Here is a 21,593-nt window from a genome sequence, read left to right on the forward strand (position 1 = left end):
ACTGACACAGTCTGGATGAACCTGAGTTACGAAAGAGGGGCCTAGGCAAAGAAGTAAGTCTTCAAGCAGGGAGACCTGTTCTGAGAAGAAGATTGATGAGTCAACACATATTGCTGTGTATTAGGTGCTGCTGTGCACTGAGGATACACAGGACAATGAGGTGTAACTTCTGCCACTGAAGGCTTCAGTGTATCGGCCAGGGCAAGGGCGAAGGTGGTGAGACTGCGATATGAGCCAGAAGTGAGATTGGAAGGCCATGCTACACTGGTGACGGAGGGAACCAAGAAAGAAAGATACCAGGGACCTTGGAAAGAGCCTGGAGCCTGGCTGATTGGCCCTGAGAAGGTGATGGAAAAGTCAGTAAGGGTAGACACTGTGATGCCATTAACAACAATACAGGCAACCAAGGCTTGTCCGAAGAGTTTTTGAGCTGGAGGACACCTGTGGACAGCATGTGGCCATGTGGCTGGGAGGGATAATGAGCATTATGAAGGCTGACATATACTCAGTCTAAAACGTTTCCTAGATTTGAGCAATGGCCCACGCTAACAGATGACATGTAATGAAGGACCCCTCCCCTTGAGGGATGTGGTGGAGGAAGGGGCTTGGCCGACCTAAATGCAAGCTGAACCAGCAGTGTGCTCCTTGGGAACACAGGCTGCTATAAGTATGTGCCAATGGAAGGACGTGGAGGACCTGATGTGGTCAGTATAACTCTCAGTTTTGCAAGTGGCAGGACCCACCCAGAGGAGAAAGGCCAGGGTGATGAGCGGTCAGACATCACGACTTATGAGGAATGAATAAAAAGCCAGAGATAGCTTGCATTGGAGAAGAAAAGGTTTAAGGGACCTGTGTGAATTGGAACACACATTTGGCTTCTTCTGTGGGTGGAAGTTACAGAGGGATGAGTGTGAACTTTCTTCATTAGTTTTGAAGAAGGACCTAATGACTGGAGATGCCAGGACGTGGACTGATCTGCCTGGCAGATGGTGAATTCTCCATCCCTAAAGGTGTTCAGCAAGCACTAGGTGGGTGCTCAGCAAGCACTAGATGGCCACTAAAGAGGAGGTTCTTGCCTTGGATAAAAGGCTCAGCTTAAGAAGATGGGCTTTATAATCCCATCAAATTCTGCATGCTTGACCAAGGGCTCACCATTCAATTAGTTCTTGTTCCCCTTCTCTGGGCTCTAGAAACACAGTGTAATTGGCATTTGAATGTGACCTCACCAAGGGCCTCCCACATTCCCCTAAACCTACAATCTCACCTTCTTCCCAATCAACAGTCAGAGAGCTTCAGCTTCCACAGAAGATGTCATGGCTACACACCCCAGATCCTAGGAGGACTCTGATCTCATTGGTTCCCTTAACCACTTTTTCTCTGTCCATCCCTGTGGAGTTAGGACTTCTCTTTGAAGGCCCCAGGATAGTTTGCGTCTGTTTTTCCTTTATTTATCCTGGAAATACATTGAGACAAAAGCCATTTCATCGCTTTGCTGGTCTTGTTTTCCTACCCTCTGGTCCCTCTCTCCTAATTCCTACTAATAATTCCATCTTCCAGGCCTCAGGAGGTCCCTGTGGAACCAACCAGGCATACAGATGGCCTTCTGGCTCTTACAGAGTTTTCAGGACAGAGGTCCTTGCTGCGCAACCTTGACTAATGGGAAGTTCTTCCTTGGGCCTCACTAGAATCTGTCAGGATGCCTCTTGGGCCCTAGTAGGTTTGCCCTGCCTCACGGGGCCAGCAAGCAGCAGGCCAGCATTCTTCCATAGAAAAGAACAGCACAGTGCAGACGTCTTTCAATTCCACCTGCTCCCCATGCGAGATTGATTTTCAGCCACTTTCCAGTTGAAATTCTTAAGAGTTATTAGTTCTTCATGTTCCACGTTCCCCAGCCAGAACTGAAAATTCTCACTTCTTATTTTCCCCTTTTATTTATTTTTGAAAACAGTCCAGCCTTGTTAAAAATGGCCAGCAGAACTTTCCTAAGCTCTGTCTGTGACTTTGTGGGCTCAGGTCCTTACTCCTAATGTCATCCTTGATGCCTCCTATTGCTGGGAACTTGCGTATCAAAAAATTGGGGAAGGAGTAGTCTGGTTCATCTACATCACTGGAGGGCCTGATAAAACACAGATTGCTGTTTTGGTCCAGCAGGTCTGCCCCCCTCAGAATTTGCCCCCAGGTACTGTTGATGCTGATATTTCAGGGACCACATTTTAAGAGCGATGGATGGAGCAGTGCCTGGGTGGACCACTCGAGGCTGCTCTGACAGGTGAAGGGATGCATTGTCTAATTAACCCTCCTGTTCTCTCCCTTCCCCATCATCCCCCTGTAGCCCCAAACCCTGGAAGATTTATCTTCCGAATTCTGCTCCCCTCAGGTTTTGATTCAAATCCATTTGCACCATTGCTTGAGCACACTCCACCCTAGAAAGGATGGAGGAGGTGATTGGGAGGGCGGTGGGGAGCCTGGGAAATCACCCCAAGAATAAAGATATCCCTCAGAGAGCTGACAGACCACAGTCTCTCACAGAACGAGGCTGCTGACCGGGACCCAGACTTGGTGGAGGCGATAAGTTCCCGGCATTCTCTCTTCTCTGGGCTGCAGGAGGTGGACATTTACACAGTGAAGACGGAAGAGCTATCGTTCACATCTGCATTCTGCCTGCAGATACAGCGCAACGACTACGTCCACGCCCTGGTCACCTATTTTAATATTGAATTTACCAAGTGCCACAAGAAAATGGGGTTTTCCACAGGTGAGCTGTTTGTTGCTTCCCAGAGCCTCCTCCCTCTCCCATGCTTCCTCAAGTCTTTGTGGGGTGACCAGAGCTGGCCTTGACTTGGGGAGAAGGGGCTGGGTGTTAGCTGGGTGACACCTATCAACCCTCTCCAGCCATGGAGGAACCATGCATCCCTATATTTGTGCTGTCCAAGGAGAAGGTAAATAATGTTGTGGTTGTTACAGCACAAGTTGAGAGTGTGTTGGATGAGGGAGAGGCAGGAGGTAGGGCTCATGGAGGGGCCCCAAGCCCTTTCAAAGGCATATTTGTTCAGGTAGCATTTTCTGAGCACATTCTGTGTGGTGGGTATGGATGGAGTTGAATAAGCCTAGTCTGCACTGCCATGCCTCTGTGCAGGACACAGCCTGTCTTGCAGCAGCCTGCACACTGGTCTCTATGTCTCCTTCCCTTCTCCCTTACTTTCACACCAACCCATCCTTCATTAAATCTCTGTTGGTGTTCCCCCAAGATCACCCCACTGCTACTCCCACTCCCAAATCCCAGCCCCGCTTACGAGGTGCCTCGCTGCCTGCAGTAGATAAGCCTGGCAAATGGGGATCCCATGGCCTGGCCCTGGCCCACTCTCCAGCCTCATTCCTCACCACCCCTCTTGGCCGAGCCCTGTCCCGTCGCTGCTACCCCACAGGTGGCCCAGCTACACCGAGCTCCTTGCTGACTTCTAAACTCAGTGAGGCCTCTTCATTCTCTGGGCCATGGCTTCTACACACACCAGCCCTTGCCTATCCAGGTGTGCCCTGGAGGTGGGAGGGGCCTTAGTCAGAGGCTCTCATCATCCCCTCTTCTCCTGTATCAGTCTGTGAGGGCAGCCATAACAAAATACCCAGGCTTGGGGGCTTAACCACACATGCAGTTCTGGAGGCTGGAAGTCCAAAGGCAAGGTGTCAGCAGGGTGGATTTCTGGTGAGGGATCTCCTCTTGCCTTGTAGTTGTCCACCTTCTCACTGTGTCCTCACGTGGTCTTTCCTCTGTGCTCATGAGCCCTTGGTGGCTCTATGTGTGTCCTAATTGCCTCTTCTAAGGACACCAGTCAGATTGGATGAAGTTAATCACCTCTTTTAAAGCCCTTTTCCCAAATACAGTCACATTCTCAGGTACTGGGGATTAGGACTTCAACATGAATTTGGAGGGGGGGACAATTCAGGTGGTAACACCACCCCTGAGCCATCTCTTCACCTGGTTTCCTGTCTCAGCTCAGGGGTTACCTGATCCCCGCTTTCCCTTTGGGTCAAGGTTCGATGTCCTCAGGGTGAACCTAACATCTCGTGCATGTGCCTGGCATGGTGATGTTTCAAGTGAGACACATGCACAACAGCAAGAAGAAATCAGGACAAAAGAGTATAAAAAGTCAAAGAAAGCATTCTCACCCCCAACCCATCCCACTCCCACTCTTCAGAGGCAAATATTATTATTAATGATTTCTTTTGTATCATTCCACCAAATTTCAGTGAGTGCACAAGCACATGCATATCCATAGATGCCTCTTTTTTGGCTTTTTATTTTGAAATAATTATAGATTCACAGGAAGTTGTAAAAATAGTACACAGAGTTGTGTGAACCCTTTGCCCAGCTGCCCCATTGATGGTGTCTTACGTAAGCATAGTACAATATCAAAACTACACCTTTTTAAAAAAACTTAGGTTGGATCCTACCCTCCACACTGCCCTCAGCTACCTTTTCTTTATTTAACAACGTTATCTTGGTGATACTCTCATAGCCTCACAGAGATACCTAGCTTCTTTTTTTAAACAACCACACAGGATTCCAACACAGGGCTTGCCATTATTTATTCAGCATTTTCACCCTTTCTTGCAACTGTCAGTCTCCTGCATGAGTAGGGATCATATCTCAGTGATCTCTGCATTCCTGTCTTCTAAAGCACAGTTCTAAACAAATTGCTCTAAGAAGTGTATGATGATATGACCCCTGCCCTTAAGAATGTGTTCCTATTGAGTCTTCCTGGGAATTGGGAGCATGTCATCAGGGGGTGAGGAGGTGAGTAGTTGTATGTCTAGTAGGGGGAGTGGGAAGGTGAGTTCTACCAGAAATCGAGGACATGATTCTTTACTTCCAGAAGCCATGAAGAAAATGATGCTTTTTTTTTTTTTTTTTTTTTTTTTTTCTCAGAGACAAGGTCTCACTCTGTCTCCCAGGCTGGAGTGCAGTGGCACAATCATAGCTCACTGCAGCCTTGACCTCCTGGGCTCAAGCGATCCTCCTGCCTTAGCCACCCAAGTAGCTGGGACTACAGGCACATGCCACCATGCCTGGATACTTTTTAATTTTTTTTTTTTTTTGGTAGAGATGGGGTCTTGCCTCATTGCCCAGGCTGGTCTCAATGATTCTCTTTTACCTATGGAAAGAGAGGGCAAGAGACAGATTTATCTCTTCATAGAAAGGCTTTTCCCAGAACCAGTGCCTCCTGATTACTAAGATTGGGACTTTTGGTCTCCGTCAGCCAGGCAGTGCTGGTGCTTTCCTGCCCTGATCTGGGTCATTATCAGCTGCTGCCCTCCTCACAGGAGCAGTACATGTCTTCCCAGTGGGCAGGAGCAGCCAGGAGGGGGAAGGTGGATTTTACTTTGATCTTGAAGGATTGGGAAGACTGTGCCTAGCAATGGTGAGAGTAGGGGTAGTGAGGGAGCTGGGGAGGAGCCTTCTTGGGGACAGTGGCTGTGATTGGAAGCTAAGGATGAAGTCATAGGAGCTGGCTCTGCCTATTCCATCACCAGGATGATGTCTAACCCAGAGCCTGCCCTGCTGATGAGAAAGTCCATGGGCAAGGATGCTCTGGGAAAAGTTCTAAGTTTCCAAACCCCAGGCTCTATCCCTGCAGCTCTCAGCCATAGTTTTATTTTCCTTGAGATGATCTATTAATATTTCTAGTCTCCAAAGTCAAGCAGACAGCCTGCTGGACCCTGTCTAGAGATGGCTCCCTGGCTCTGGGGTGTTAGGGATGACATTCTTCATGGTCCCATGTGGAGGAGCCTGGATTAAGCTCACATCCAGAATCAAGACATCGGCTCTGGGCTGCCTGAAAGATGGCGAGGATTTGCCCTGAGTGTTGAAGGCTCTAACCCAGTGGCTTTCCTTCCTAGTCTTTGGTCACACCCCCACCACAGTCCTACGTGGCTCAAAGACCAAGGATCTAAACCCAGTTGTGAGCCTACTCCTCTTTTTGCAATTATAGTGTTATGCCTCCTCCCTTTTGCACAGAATTCTACAAACTTAGGTTCTGAAAGACATTTGGAGGTCCTACAGTCTCCAGTTTGTCATGCCTTGGGGAAGTGGTTCTCAAAGTGTGGTTCCTGGACGGGTAACACCAGTATCACCTGGGAAATTGTTAGAATTGCAAATTCTTGAGCCTCACCCTGGACCTCCTGAATCAGAAACTCTGGGGGTGGGGGCCAGCCGTCTGTGTCTTAACAAGACCTCCAGGTGATTGCGATGCATGCTCCAGCTTAAGGACCACTGCCTCTGTGCAAGACTGCCCTGAACCAGAGGGTTGAGAATTTGACCAATGTTGACTTTCTTCTGGAAAGGCTATTCCATCTCCTCACTCAGGTATACCCTCAGGCCTCACCAAGACTCTTTGCTTTCTGGCTGACGTAGATCCCTCTTCTTGGCACATGCCTATATGGGTAGCAATGGGGGTGGGAGAATACTTTGTTGAGTTGCTTTCTCAGCCACCTTCGCGTGTCAGCGTGGGGGCTCTGTTTCTAGCAGGTAGCAAACTTCTTTCCCAGTTCATGTGGGTTAGCAGTGGGGTATACTCAGACCATCTATATTCTGACAACTGACCGAGTAACCCTTTCTGTTTTTATGGATCTCAGATGCACAGACTTAGATTAATCCTAATTCTTGGCTCATGCCATATGTCATTATTGGACCATTCATGGTTCACTTTTTTTGCTAATTTATATATTAATTATATATAATTATATTATATATTAATATAATGAATATCCATGAACTCACCACATAACTCAGCAACTAGAATATAAATTAATTACTATTAACTAGAATGTAAATAGTAACTAGAATGAATTAATAAATACTAACAAAATAAATTAATAAATACTAATAAATTTATTAGTATTACTATTAGAAGGTAAATACATTAGTTAATATTAAAAATAAATTGTTTTTAACTAAAATATAAATATTGACTAGAAAGACATGGTAATAACTGTAATATAATTATAATTAAATGTAAATCAATTAATGCATATTTGCATTAATTTGCTTACACTTATTGATTCGAGCTATGCCCTGACTCAATGACTGAAATGCTGCCAACACCTCTGCATCTTCCTGGATGCCCCACCCCATCCCACCTCCCGTATCGCCTCCAGATGAACATTATCCTGAATTTTGTGTTCCTTATTCCCTTGCTATTTATGAAAAGTTTTATCACATGGATGTGTGTGCCTAAACAAGGTATTGTTTGGTCTCAGCTGTTTTTGAACTTGATGCAAAGTGTAGCCTGCTGTGTGTGGTCCCTCTGCATCAACCCCCAACTGAGTCTTCTGTTCTCAGCCCAGTGGTAGCGCGCTCTGCGGGCCACTTAGAAACACATCCCATACCGCACAGCCTGAAAAATGATCCCTTCTAATGACTCTGACGTCTCTGCAGCTCCAGGCAGAAGCTGTCACAAATAGGCACAGACAGCCAGGGTTCCAGGCTGTGGCAGCCAGTGGGCACGGTGCCCCCCCCACCACAACACATCCTCAGTGGGGTGGGGGTAGAAGTGGGAACTGGGGCCCCTGGGGCTGCTGTGTAATCCAGGAAAGCCAGGTAGCAGGTGGAAGGGCAGGAGCCCCAGCAGAAGCAGGCCTGGGTGCAAGCCCTGGTTTTTTCAGGTATCAGCAAGGTAGGCAGATCAGACATTGGAAAGGACTTTGGGCAAGTTTACTTTCTGCGCCTTGGGCTCAGGCAGCTCCTTTCTGCCATTGACATCCTGTGACATTGAGTCATTTTCCCACATTAAAGAAGCTTCTTGGTGCATAGTCCTCAATTCTCCAAAAGGCCTATGAATTCTCTAGAGAATATAATTCCAAACTTACAGCTAGAAAAATTATATCCCAGAAAGGACGACCAGCCACTTAGCCATTGGTCAGTGAGATGGGAAGCAGGATTCCATTCCCTTTCCAAAAGCACCAGGAAAACTCTGGTGAGAGGCCAGTCCCTGCCATTTGTACCCTCAGCTCCCTGTGTTCCCAAGCCCCATCCTTGGTCATAGTGCCCACCCTACTTCTCACTATTTGCCTGAATGTCTTCTCACTGAGGCTGTATGATCGGGGGAGGAGGGGACAAAGTGGTGTTCATCCCGTTTGCTGTTCCCCAATTCTACAGCCATACCCGGCCTGTGGCAGGCATCCTAAGTGGAAGTCTGTGGAATGGTGAATGAATGCACTGCACTAGGAATGCTGCAGGCAGTACTGGTCATGCTCACTTCAAAATGTAGAAGAAAAGCTGCCTAAAGCCTAGAATCAGAGAGACTGTGATGGGGAAGGGAACTGTGGGAGGGAGAAAAGGGGTATGTGGGGCCAGAATGCTAAGAGCAGGGAGGCATCTTCAGAATGGGGAAGGCTGAAAGCCAGTTGTACAATCTGGATGGTCATAGATGGGGTTGGGGCAGGGGAAGGGAAAGCTTTCCTCCCTGACAAGGAGAACTCTAGATGTTGTCCACAACCCTTTCCTGAGCGCCCACCCTTGTGCACGGTGACATTCTGGATGTTTTCCAAGACATTCTCCACCAGTAGAGAGAGGCGGCATATCTTTGCAGACCAGAGCCATAGTTGATGGACTAATAAAATCATATACCACTCTAATGACCAAAGACTTGCCTGATGCAATGGCTTAGTAAGTCCCTAACATGGGCCTAATATGTTTTAGGTAGGGTGGCCATGTAACGCATCTTTCCATTAAGGACACGTATGCAGGTGAAAGGGAGACCTATTAATCATTATGCCAGGAAAACAGATGTGAACTGGAACTGTCCCAGGCACAGCAGGAGGTTTGATCACCCTTAGTCTATGATCCTTTCCCTTTCTCATCTCATCTCATCCTCACAATACGTCAGGAGGTGAATATCATGAGCCATATTCTGCAGATGTGGAAAAGGAGCCCCAGGTCACATCGCATGTCAGTGGCAAAGTGGACACTGGACACGGGGCTATTGTCACCTAATTAATGTCTTTCCCACTCTACCTTCCCAAAGGAGGTCAGGAGATGCACTGCGATTCAGCCATGGCTGTGTGTCTACGTCACCTGCCCCTCCACGCCCCCCAGAATTACTGACTTCAAATCTCTTGGAGTAGAATCAAAACATTGACTTTTACTCAGCTTCTCCTGGGCACTTTGATGGAGAATCAGGATTGGGAAAACTGGTTTAGACAATTACTCCATGGCTAATGGGCCCATCATGGAAACGAGATGTTTATGGATGTTCTTAACCCTTTGATGTTGATATCAAGGAAAATAATCATCTTCCTCCAACTCAAAGTCGGCATGTTTTGGGGACTACCATCAGAGGCAGACCCCATGGCTGACAAATCTGGGCCAGGAAGTCTCTGGGGGTCTCATAAGGCATCGGATTAGGTGACAGAAGGAGGCTGCTTGAAATCCCTTTGCCTGAAGGTCTTTAGGAACAGGAGAGAGACACCTGTCTGAGCTGGTGTAGGTGGAAGTGGGGGCGAGAGTGCTGTCAGTCATACACTGACAGTCTCCACACATAACCAGGAACTATCTTTTGACTATTTAGAGGTAGCTGGGAGAGATGGTTGTTGGGAGCAGGTGGACTTTGTCTGCAGACAGCAGTATGCCCTGAAGGCCAGAAAGGCTGGATGTGTTCAGGAACCCAGGCAGGGTCTGAAAGGGATAGACTGCACATTCATGATCCTCCTTCCCTTTCCAAATGTGCAGGCTGCACTTTCTCCCCATGACCTTGAGTTTGCATCGATTTCCCAAATGCACACACGGAGGGCTACTTGAGTCTCTCTCCAAACCACTGACATTTGATCAAGCCAGTTCATTGTGAAGGGCAGAGAAAGACAGACTCTTCAGTGCTGTTAAAATTGGCCTTGGGGTTTTGAAAGCTCTTAGAGGTCACCTGGTCTGAGTCAGTGCATGATCAAGCCCCAGTTGGCGCTGTGTGAACACCTGCCAGGGTGGACCTCAGGTGGCTCATATGATTGTGGGACAGCTCTAATTCTTGGTAAATTAAAAATCTGCCTTCTAATCATGCCTAGTGACTAGCCTTTGTTCTGCCCCCAAAGCCATGATAAGGCCACATGTAAGTCTTTCCATGTGACAGCTTTTGAAGTGTTTTGAAGACCCTTATCTTATCCCCAAGTCTTCTCATCTTTATCCTTAGTCCTAAAAAAAAAAAAAAAAGAAATCCTGGTAGAGGAATGCAACAGCCCAAACCAAGAGGAACTTCCTGTAATAAGATGGGTTCTTCTGCAGTCTGTAGATTCCAAAGGCCCCCAGGGTAACTGGAGTACATTGAACTCCAGTACGAGTACATTGAAGCACTACAGACATTTGCTCTTTGGGTTCTTACCATCATTCATTTATTCAATACTCGTAGATCTACCAAGCACAGAGGCAGGCACCGAGGAAGCAAGGCTGGCCCGGTCCCTGCCCTCATGGAGCTTGCAGTCCATGGAGGATGCAGACAAACGGGGATGGGGGGAAGGCATTTATCTTGTGTGACAGGCACCGCAATAACAGGAGCTCAGGGTGCCTTGGGAGCTCTCAGTCCAGGTTTTGCGGGTCAGGCAAGGCTTCCCAGAGGAAGGATGAGGAAGAGAGAGGCTGGAAAGGAGGGAGAGGAAGGATTTCAGAGACAGCTGCTGGCAAGGACGGTGGCCTCTGAGGCAGAACTCCTCACATTTAACTGGAGAATATATCGTGTGCTGAGAGGGGAGGGAAGAGACTCAATGGCAGATATGGGGGAGGCGCAAGTACCACTATGGCTTTGGGTCATACAGGATGAATGAGCTGTGGGCCAGCATTAGGGCTGTGGAACAAGAACCATCCCTCATTTCTTTCTGATCTGGTTAGGAAGATACACCTGAAACCCTACAGCAGGTCTGGGCCAAGGTGCTAGGTTTAGTTCCCCGTGCACAGAGAAGCAGGCAGGGAAAGCTCTTTTTTTTTTTTTTTTTTTTTGAGACAGGGTCTCACTCACTGGTTTGCACCCAGGCTAGAGTGCAGTGGTATAGTCACAGCTCACTGCAACCTTGAACTCCCAGGCTCAATGCATCCTCCTGCTTCAGCCTCCTGAGTAGCTGGGACCACAGATGTGTGCTACCACACTCGCCTAGTTTTCTCATTATGTTGCCCAGGCTGGTCTTGAACTCCTGGGCTCAACCAGTCCTCCTGCCTCAGCTTCCTGAGTAGCTGAGGTTACAGCTATGAGCCACTATGTGTGCCCAGCAGGAAAAGCTAGTTGTAAGATTGAGGACCAAGTACCTGCCATATCAGTGGATCTGGGGAAACTGGTTTAGCTGTGGAGTTTGCATGAATGATGTCATTTAAGGGGAGATAGGAGGGCCTACTCTACAAATCTCTTCCCCATACTGTCTGAAGATCTTCATTCTGTTGAACTAATTAAAAACAGCAGCATGTTCAGATGCATGTATGTCCATGCATTTAGTGGGTGACAGGGTATTCCTCATCCATCCCTTGCTATGAACTTGTAGTATCGGGTTGTTTGTCTTCTGATCCCCAGCACTGAGGAGATGGGGATGTGATGGGAGGAGAGGCCACTGGGACTGAGAGGGAGTTCTGATGGGGCTTGGAGGAAGGCTATAAGGACTATGCACCTGACCCAACAAGAGTACTGGGGTGGGTGGTTTCAGTGAGTCCCAGGGGAAGCCCAGCAACTTCTATGCAGGGTCCCAGCCTCATCCCTTTGGAGACTTCGTCTCTGACTCTTTCTTCCCACCTCCCCTGTTCTCTCACCCCTCAGCCCCTGATGCTCCCTACACCCACTGGAAGCAGACCGTCTTCTACTTGGAAGATTACCTCACTGTCCGGAGGGGGGAGGAAATCTACGGGACCATATCCATGAAGCCAAATGCCAAAAATGTGGTAAGTGCCGAGGGACATAAGGACATAAGGGAGAAGGGCCCCACAGAGCTGGCTCGCTCAGGACCCACTTGCCCGGGTTCTTAAGTGTCTCATGAACAGTCAGAAACTTACTGAGGCAGGCAGTCGGTAGCCACATGTGGACATGACTAGGCCTAATTGAGGGACTCAGGCTTGACCCCTCAAAACTCCGCAAATAGAGGTTTTCCCTGGGTCCAATTCTGGACTGCCTTGGCTTTGAAGACAGCTTCCAGCTCTTCCTGTGAGGGGCTTTCAAATAAATGGGTCCTACCTCATTTAGTAAGAGCTGGGCCAGGAGATAAGCTCCTGGTGGCTGGAGGATGTTTGGCGTGCATTTCTTCAGCTGGCCTGGTGCGAGGGAGACTTGCTGGCACTTTCGGGGCAGCCCCAGGTGTGGGCATGAGCGCTAAAAACGTCTGCAGAGTGCTCTGAAGGTCACCTCACAGAACACTTAACCACCCCAATCAGTTTACTTCCAGGACGAACTCGGAACGTTTTGTTATTAGAGCAGGAAGGATTTAGGGAGAAATGGAAGAACTTCCTGTGAGGACAAGGAGGCAGCAGAATGGATTCCTGTGGGCTGTTCAGGGGAACCCCTTAGCCAGAAAGCCTTAAGACGCTGGTGCTACCCATCCCTGTGGTTCCAGGAGCAGGTGGTGCCAGAGAGTGGGGCTGTGGCTTCATACCCAGACGGCCGCCTGACCCTTCGCTCTCTCTCTGCCTTGCAGCGAGACCTCGATTTCACAGTAGACTTGGATTTTAAGGGACAGCTGTGTGAAACATCTGTATCTAATGACTACAAAATGCGTTAGCACACGTGGGAAGCTGCAGAGAGCAACGAGAAAAGGAACTCTCACCTCGATCTGCCGTGCCGTCCCAAAGAATACCGTTTGCAGGACTACACACTTGAAAACCAGAGTTTTCAACTCTGCCTTGAAGATTGGTGAACTCCCCAGGGCTCCCGTGGGCTCTGCCACTGGACAGAAGGCCTCCAGCTCCTCCGCTCTGCCCTGGTAGCCCTTCACGAAGGCTTTGTGTTGCCAACAAAGAGCGACCTGGCGTGCTGTGGCTGGGCCCCGAGGGTGGAAACGTATTCGCGTCTCCCCGTCTCCTCCTTAACTGTGACTCTCCGGGTCTTCTGAGTTTTGCATGCTGCGGGTGTCTAGGACAGATTGCTTCCACTAGAACCTGGAGACATAGCATCTTTGATAGCATAAGCCAGATTATCTGTGTGTGCGGTGGTGTGCGTGTGCGTGCATGTGTGAATGTGAGCAGCATAGTTGATATTTACCCACAAACACCTGTATATGCGTGCATATACAACCAAGTGGGTAGACCTAGGTGTTCTCTCAGAGGGGTGTGTGTGTGTGTGCGTGCGCGTGTGCCTAGAATATATATTACTCTCAGAGGAGATTCTGTTGCTTTTGAATAGGAATTTGTTTTGTGATTAGTTCGCCCCTTCCCCACCCCTTACCAGATGTTAAGCAGCTATGAAACATTCTCTGTACTAGTTCTGGTCTCCTTTTGACTGGACTGTGGCTCTGAACCTTGAGCATAGTACCACGGACTCCGTGGGCGCTCAATAAACACACATGAGAACAAACTGGTGGGATGGCTGGTTCCTGGTGCTGTGAAGTGGGAGGGCTGGGGGGAAGCCAGAGGCCATGATGGAGTGGAGACTCAAGGGCAGCAGCACCTACGTGGGTTCACGTTTGCTCCCCAGCAGGGAGGTCAGGGCTGGTCTAAGAGCATCTCCCCCATGGACTCTGAGGGGTCCTACCTTAGAGGGTAAGGAGGTCATGGAGCTGGGGTGGGGGACAGGAGCTAACCAAGAGTGTGCCAGAATGGCAGGCCATGCATAGCCTGGAGACTGCTTAGGATAATGTCCAGCCTTGGTCCGGGCGTGGTAACAGCGGAATCTGTGAAGGATGGAAATGCAATGTACTTTGCAGGGCGTGGTGGAGTGTTTTGATTTGGTCTGGTCTTGGGCTATGCTTTAGCTTCCAAGACCATGATTCTCATCTATGTCACCTACCTGGGAAGAGACATTCCAGGTGGGGGAAGGAAGAGGGGCCATTTAGAGATGATGGGTGGAGCTGATGGGATCCAGGAAGAAGGAAGATGCAGGGGAGACCTCGGGCCTGGCTTTGCGTGGTTGGGGAGTGCTGGTGATGGCAGAGCCCCTGGATAATGATAACTGAACCCAATAGCAATGGCCTCTGCACTTCCATAAACTTCTGATGTCCATGGACTCTGTCAATTCCATGAAGCCTTGGGAGTTACACGCAGAGGCCTTACCCCAGCCATTTGCTAGCTGAGGTGGGCCAAGGTCTCAAGTCCCAGTTAATGTGCCCTCCCCTGCCCTGCACTGATTCTTCCAAGCCTCAGGCCCAGAGGCTAAGACTGTCTTTTTTATACCTAGAGAAAAACACAGTGAAAATTATTTAATGCTTTTTGTGTACATGTATTGGGAAGAAAAATAGAGAAACTTAAGAGGGCACAGAAGCAAGTGTATTAGAGGAGAGAGGAGATTGAAGGAGGACATTGGAGTGGGGACTCCCTCGGGGGCATTCGAGAACTCAGGAGTTGGTTTCCATTGTAGTGAGAGTTGGGGTCCCCTGGATTCTGCCTACTGACCTGGTTTAACTTTGGGCAGGAAGCTCATTCAACCTGGTGTAGGATCCCATCCATGGTCAACCAGCAAAATCCCACATTGTCAGGAGCCCAGTGGAGCGGTCAAGATGATGGCCTCCTGGGAGCTCCAGGCATTTGGGTCCTGCAGGCATCCCTGACACTCTGGGACCTGGGGAGGCTGCTGGGGCAGGAGGCTTAGGGGAGGACCAGAATGAGCAAAGGCCCAGCAATCTTTCGGGCCTCTCTGACCATCAGAGGAGAAGAGGGCCATCCCAGGGGCCTATCCTGCACCCACCCCCATCTTTAGCTTTCTGGAGTGGTACAAGCCCTGGGCTGCCCCACCACCACCCCTCCCTGCCCCTGGGCTGCAGAAGGGAAGCCTGTAATGCATAAGGGATCAATTCCACAGCAGCCTCCTCCCACCTGCTCAGGCGAATGCTCCAGTGGGAATTATTTCCCTCCGATTCAGTGGGAAATAAGCAATCTCTGCTTTGAACAGCCTCTGAATGGAAGTCAGTGCATGAGATGCGGTCTCGAATGACAACAGAGATGCTATAAAGATGACTTCACTGATAAAACCTGTTTTTTCCTCGACTCTTTGCCTCTTTTACATTTTTGAGGCTGTACAAAACCCTTTAGAGACTTTCTCGCCTGTCACTCTTCCCCTGCTCTGGGGAACTTTGCCCTTCTATTCCCAACTCCCTTCTCCCAAAATGTGGTCCTCTTTTGTGATTGCATCTGGGCTTGTCTGTACAGAGGCCACTCTGTGCTTGTTCCGAAGTCCACGGAGGCATGGTTTCTCTCCCCTCCTAAACCACAAGCTCCAAGGGCGGAGACCTGCCTGGAGAGAGCAGGGTGCGGGTGGCTGGTAACAGAGTGGCAGCTGACCCAGCACTTGCTTGATCCCATGGAATGTGCCCATGAGCACCTGCCCCCCACCCAGGACCTGCAGGCTCCAGCCTCTTCTATTTGTGCTCCTTGGGAGATGCCAATATTTTTTTTACTTTCATAAAAACCACCCCATGGAGGCCATCTACCCTAGATACACCCAAGCCTCTGTCAACTCTGTGGGCGGAAATGAGGCCTTAGCCAGGCCCTCCATGGACCCATCTCCGAAGGCTCCCTCTCCCCTTGACGTCATACCTGCAATCCCACCTATAGACTCCACCTCACTTCAGACCTCAGTAGTGGCATGAAATTAAGCCAGACATCTTGGCCCGTCTCTGCACCGTGTTCACCTGGCCTGGAATCTGTCCCTGGCCTAGGGGCAGTTCTGATCACCCGGCATGTGCCCTGCCTTGATCTCCTTGATCTCACATAGTATGGGGACTCTGTCTTGTTTTTGCAAATCCCCTCACTACCACACTGACGGCCCCAGCCTGGTTTTAGGAGCCCTCTTCCTGAAGAAACATTTTTCAGGACCCCTGCTACCTGCCTGGGTTCCTGACTAGCATCTCTTTAGATATCTTGTTTCTGAGTACAGCTCTACCTGGGGGCACCTAGATTTCCCTAGACCGCCAGGCTGTGGCATATTATACCCAGACTCCTATTTTGTTGTCTGGTGACTTCCAACATAAGTCTGACTTCCCGAGGACAGGTGATCTCCTCAGTACGTGTCTAACCGTAGTGGATGTGCTGAGCTCCAGGCCTGGAGCCTCCAATGTCCCCGTCCCATTGGAAGCAATTAGTCCATATTCAGCAAAGGCTCAGACACAACACATTCCAGTATTGGATACTTAATAGGCTCCAGGCACTGAACTAGGTAGCAGCAGTATAGCAGAGACAGCAGGCATCATGGAACTCTGTGGTTATTAGTGTCTAGCTAGGCTGGGCCTGCTCTTGCCTAAATTTCAAGAAAGTAAGTTCCCTCTGCCATTGCCTACCAGCTCCAGCTCTACCCATCTCATCCCGAGGGCCAGCCACAGTTCTTAGCCCAGCTCTGCAACACAACCTCTGTCAGAGGGGGTGGTGAGCCATGTTGCTTGTTGGCTTATCTCAGTCACTAAGCCCTAGAAACAGAAAGAGAACGTGCTTGAATTTCCTGCTATCTGTGAATTCCATGGTGGGGTGGGGGGCAGCCTGTCATTTTCAGAGAATGACAGTGCTCCGGGAGGCCCAGGGCCCTTTTTAAAGCTGGCAGTAAGTCATTTCTCACAACAGAAGTGCCAAAGAGAGTGTGCCAACCATTAGCTGACACTTAAGGCTAGAGAGCAGCTGGAGCAAACGGGGCAGAGAAAGCCCTAGCATGCGGGTCACCAGACCCAGGCTCCTGCTGTCCCCATTTCCAAAGGCAACCATCAGCCGCCACACAGCTCTGCTGCATGACATGAGTTTTGGAGCCAAAGAACCTAGTCAACTCCTGGCACTGCTGCTTACTAACGACGTGATCTTGGGCAAGTCACTGTGAGACTCTATATCTTCTTCTGCTGAAAAGGAGACAACTCAGAATGAAATGAAATCAATATAAAATGTGTTTAAAAAAACAAAGCACAGTGAAATTCTAGTGATAACTGCTGCTTCAATAGCCATTCTGCTCTGGATTGCAATTCTGTTCTTGAGAAGCACATTTAGATGACGAAGTGGAGGCCCATGGGTCTGCAAAGGCCCTGAGGGCAGCAGGCACCACAGTTGGAGCCAAGGGCAGCAGCGGCCCAGGCTCCTGGGCTGCAGGGCCTGGCCCAGAGTTTGGGGCAGCACTTCAGGTGACTCACTTGCAGAGCTTTCCAAAAGCCCTGGGCAGAAGTGGCCTGCTTCAGGGCTCTGGTTCATTGACTCAGGGCTTCAAAAGTGGCTTGTGGAGATCTTAAAGCCCATCTCGTAGCCCTCTGGCATGCTGTGACTAACTGGCACCCATGTATGTCCTTCCATGGCACCAATAGGTGTATGTCTTTCCATTGGAATGAAAAGATCCTCAGTTGGAGAGAAGCCACAGACCCACCTGGGGCACTCGGGCAGGGCTTCACCTTCTGGCTGCCTCCGCATCCATTTCAAATCACAAGAACTTGCTGGTGACCTTGAAACCGTGCCTAGCGTGCTAGGCCCAGTGCCTGCTTTGCATACCAGGGAGAAGAGCAGAAGATAATCCAAAGTGTTATTTTACTTTGGAATTCAACACATGCTGCTTTTCCTGGGAGAATTATTCCTTTAGTCATATTTAGTTTCAGTTAATAATATATTGAATTTGTATTCTTGGAGAACCTATTCTCTTTGATGACCGGAGTTAGTGGCTTGGAAGCACATTCTGGGGACCGGCCAGGGGAATGGGGTGGGGACTAGGCTGAGAACCTAATCTTGATGGCAATAACAGCCGCATCAATGCTTAAGACTTGTTTGGCTACATTTATCGGGAAATTACCAACCAAATCCCCACTGTCAGAAATTGCCATTAATATGTCAGAGGCATGCACCACTATGGCATTATGAGTCAGAAGGCAACAGGAGAACAGAACTGTAGGGGTCCTTCTCTGTGCTCAGGGAAGGACTGGGCCTCCCAAGAAAACATCTGTGCAGGAATGAGGAGCAAAACCTAGAGATGTGGAAATAGTGTGTTGCACACACAGCTGTATGGTCTGTATGGTCTGTATAGTGTGTTGCACACACAGCTGTATGCGTGTCACCACGAAACATGGAAGATCTGTTTGGAGGCAGGAGGGAGGTACACTCACTCAGCGCCTGTTACCTGCATGCTGGGCACGGCGCGCAGATGATGCTACTTCTTTTTCAGCATGAGGCCAGGTTCTGGACCCAGTTGGAACCAGGAGTGCTACATGAGTGGTCTCTCCTGACTTCCTCCATGTCATGCATATTTCTTGGGTGCCTCCTGTGTAGCAGACTTCTTGCTAGGTGCTGGGAACGCAGCACTGAACAAAAGAGATGCCAGCCTACTGTCTTGGAATTTACTGGCTGCTGGGGAAGCAGACACTAAACAAGAGGGATAAATATTATGAAAAGGAAGCAGAGGCTGAGGGAGTAAGAGACTGTTATTTAGAGACTGAGAACAAGAGAGCTTCCCTGAAGAGAGGACTTTAAACAGAGCCTTGAAAAACTGGAAGAGGAGGGGAGGGAGAGATGGAGGGAGGATCCGGCAAAAACAGCCAGTGTCAGGGCCCAGCCCGAAGGAGTCCAGAGAGCTTGGCACAGCTGAAAAAGAGGAGCCCGCAGAGGACCAGGGGAGAACCCAGAGAAGGGAGGCCTGAGATACAGTCTGGGTTCCATGGTCAAGGGCCTTGCAAACTATGTCAAGGACACATTTTCCTTAGGCAATGAGAAAACACTGAAGGATTTTAATCAGGAAAGTGACAAGACAAGATTTGCATGCCACACATGCTCACCAGCTAACGAGCTCAATTTGGCAGTTGTTTCCCTTGAAAAATGGTAATACGCTTAACCCACTGCCTACTTCAGAAAATCAACCGCAGAACAGGTCATCCGTAGCAGCGGCAGAACCTCTAGGAACCATGAGTGAAGGATGGGGACTGAGGCTTCTTTTGGTTGCTGTTGTTGACAATGGCTTGAATAGATTGCTGCGTTTTAGGATTGCCTTGTTCACCCGGAGGAAATCTGCAACCGGCCAATTTGTGCAACTCTGAGATCATTTGCATCGTCCTTTCTGGTGTCATGTCATACTGTTCTTCCCAGGAGGACAGCCTCCTCCTGGCTCAGAGTATGTCATCGCCTGGGAGGGGGAAGGCAGTTGGAAGGGTTGGTGCAAGGCTGGATCTGCGTTTGGGGATTGTTCTTGCTGCTTCAAGCGCTGGGCAGCTGTTTCCAGGGGAGCAGAATGCTTGGCATCACTTTCAACTCACGGAACATATTCTTGAAGCACCTTTCAGAGGCTCCGTGGGTTGTAATGGGTTTCTGATATCATGACAACTGCTTTTTGGCCATGGTTGGTTAGCTCCGTTGGATAGAGCATCGAACTTCAAGCCAAAGTCACAGGCTACATAGACACGCAGCTCTGTTTCATGGGCATGGATGATGCCTTGAACTCCAGACAGCCATGGAGATAAACAGGCCTGGGGTTGAGCCTGGCTCCTCCAGTGAGTAGCTGAGACTGGCAGGGAGTTACTGGAATTGTCTGCTTCTGAGTGAATTCTTTCCCTGTTAGATGGGGAGGATAATAACACCTTTCTCCCAGGGTTGTTGCAAGTGTCAAATGACACTGAAGGATTTAAATGAGATCATGTGAGATCACATGGTAATGCACCCCGGGGCACAGGCAGCTGCTTATCAACGGCAGCTCTTTCTCTTCTTGGAACTGAGGGCTCCAGACAAGAACATGCAGATGACTCCGGGCTCTCCCAGGGAGAGAGGGAAAAACAAGTCCAAGTACAGTCTCTCTCCACAATGGGTCAGAGTGCTGGCTTCACGTGGCCAAAGAGAGAAGGCACAGGATCCTGTGTTGCTTGGGAATAATTCCAAAGGTGGCTTCGGAGATACCTAGATTAGAAATGCCAGGGGAATTCAGAGCAGGGCCAGGACTTCCAGGCATCTGAGGTCATTAAACGTGACTCGGGGCCTGAGGCTGCACGTTGCAGAGTGTGGAACGGGCCAGTCGGCAGGAGGTTCCCCATGGTGTCCTAGACTGAGGACCCGGAATGACCTGAGATAAGAATAAGCACAGGACCCTGGAGCCGGAGGAACATATTCAAACCCCGATTCTCCCACTTCTGGCTGCGTAACCTTGAGCAAGTCATTCAGCCTCTCTCTGCCTCAGTTTCCTTTCTTACAAATGATGGTAGTCGTATTATCTACCCGGTGGCATTGTGGTAAGAGTTAAATGAGAAGCATGCCAGGTATGTGATGCATAGGTATAGAATAGCTGCTCCTCCTAGGAATTATGCCAGGCTTTGCACACCTCCGGGACTTGGGCACATCGGCCCTTCTGAGCCCCACAACCTGGCTCCCGTGCTCTCTGGAGGTGAGCAAAGCCCACCGTCTGTGCCCTACCCTCACCATGCTGCATTTCCAGCATCTGTTTTTGTGTCTATCTGTCTCCCCAGCAGACTGTGATCTCCTTGAGGGCAGGCTCTGCATCCCACTTATGCTGCGTGTCAGTGGCAAGTACAAGTCCCTAGCCCATCACAGGTGCTTAGTAAATCTTTGCTAAATGAGCGAATGCTGACTTGATGCCATGGCACCCACGGCAGTCTCCAACCTGCCTGCTGCTCCTAATCTCCGAACCTACTCTCTCCCCCGCCCTGGGCCTCGGTGTTCTCATTTATGGGAGGAAGGTATTCGCCTAGAATTAACTTCAGGTCCTCACCCAGCTTAAAGAAACTGTGATTTTTGTGATTCTACAGCTCTTATTTTGTGACCCTGGGCTCAGAGCTTTCTAAGAAGATCCCGCCCCCAACTGTGTAGTGGAGGAGAGTAGAATGGCTTATTTTTGGTGGAAGTTGGGGGTAGGAGTGAGAAGTAAACGCTCCAGGAGGAAAAGAATTTCCTGCCCGGGCTGCAGAAAGACACCGTGGAGGCTTTGCCAGTGAGTAGCCGGAGGAATGGAGGGTTGAACCACCAAGATGTGAGGTTTCTCAGTTGCTTGACTGCCGTTCATTAGCGTGCGACTACAGAGATGGGCCATTTCTTGGAAAACCATTTTAATAACTGAGAGCAAATGGGATTAAGGATGCTGGCTGGCATCTGGCCAGGACCGCGTGGCTCTCATCCACACGGGGAGTTAATTTGTCTCTGCTAATGTTGCCTATTGATTATCGCTCACAATATTTTCTTTCAGGTGTTTCTCTGCAAAGTGTTTCTATTGAGTGGGCCTCTGGCAATGTGGTTTCTGGGGGCTCTGTGAGGGGAGAAGAGTGGGGAGCAGAGCCGGGTAATGTCTAGGATCAAGGGAGGCCTGGGGAGCGATGGCCAGTCGAGAAGGCAAACCTCGTGCCGCGTCCACACAAAGTGACTATGGTCCTGAATCCGGGGGTCCTGGGGCCAGATAAGCCCTGGCCCTGCCACCCCCAACCGTGACTATAGCCCTGAAGCCGGGGGTCCTGGGGCCAGATAAGCCCTGGCCCTCCCACCCCCAACTTCGCCC

The 21,593-nt window shown here is 49.6% G+C and overlaps 1 protein-coding gene across 6 annotated transcripts in view, besides 1 other annotated feature; it reads left to right on the forward strand.

Annotated features, from left to right (window-relative positions):
• Positions 1-13,520, forward strand: part of PRMT8 (protein arginine methyltransferase 8) — a 212,625-nt gene extending 199,105 nt beyond the window's left edge. For 5 of the 6 annotated variants that reach the window (NM_001256536.1, NM_019854.5, XM_017019644.2 and 2 more), the window contains 3 exons: positions 2,605-2,755; positions 11,778-11,899; positions 12,646-13,520. In NM_001256536.1, the coding sequence (NP_001243465.1) occupies positions 2,605-2,755; positions 11,778-11,899; positions 12,646-12,729 (357 nt within the window). In that variant the 3' untranslated portion in view covers positions 12,730-13,520. Of the gene's footprint in view, positions 1-2,604; positions 2,756-11,777; positions 11,900-12,645 lie in introns of those variants that run through there. The other variant, XM_047429157.1, reaches the window with a different exon arrangement.
• Positions 19,478-20,303: an enhancer, noted in NCBI's record as "H3K27ac-H3K4me1 hESC enhancer chr12:3709097-3709922 (GRCh37/hg19 assembly coordinates)". NCBI's record gives its function as "activates a minimal SCP1, AML or CMV promoter by ChIP-STARR-seq in primed H9 embryonic stem cells {active_cell/tissue: H9 hESC(primed)}" and the evidence as "EXISTENCE:reporter gene assay evidence [ECO:0000049][PMID:30033119]".

This window comes from Homo sapiens, chromosome 12 (genome assembly GCF_000001405.40).
Source record: "Homo sapiens chromosome 12, GRCh38.p14 Primary Assembly".
In the NCBI taxonomy this organism is placed as follows: Eukaryota; Metazoa; Chordata; class Mammalia; order Primates; family Hominidae; genus Homo; species Homo sapiens.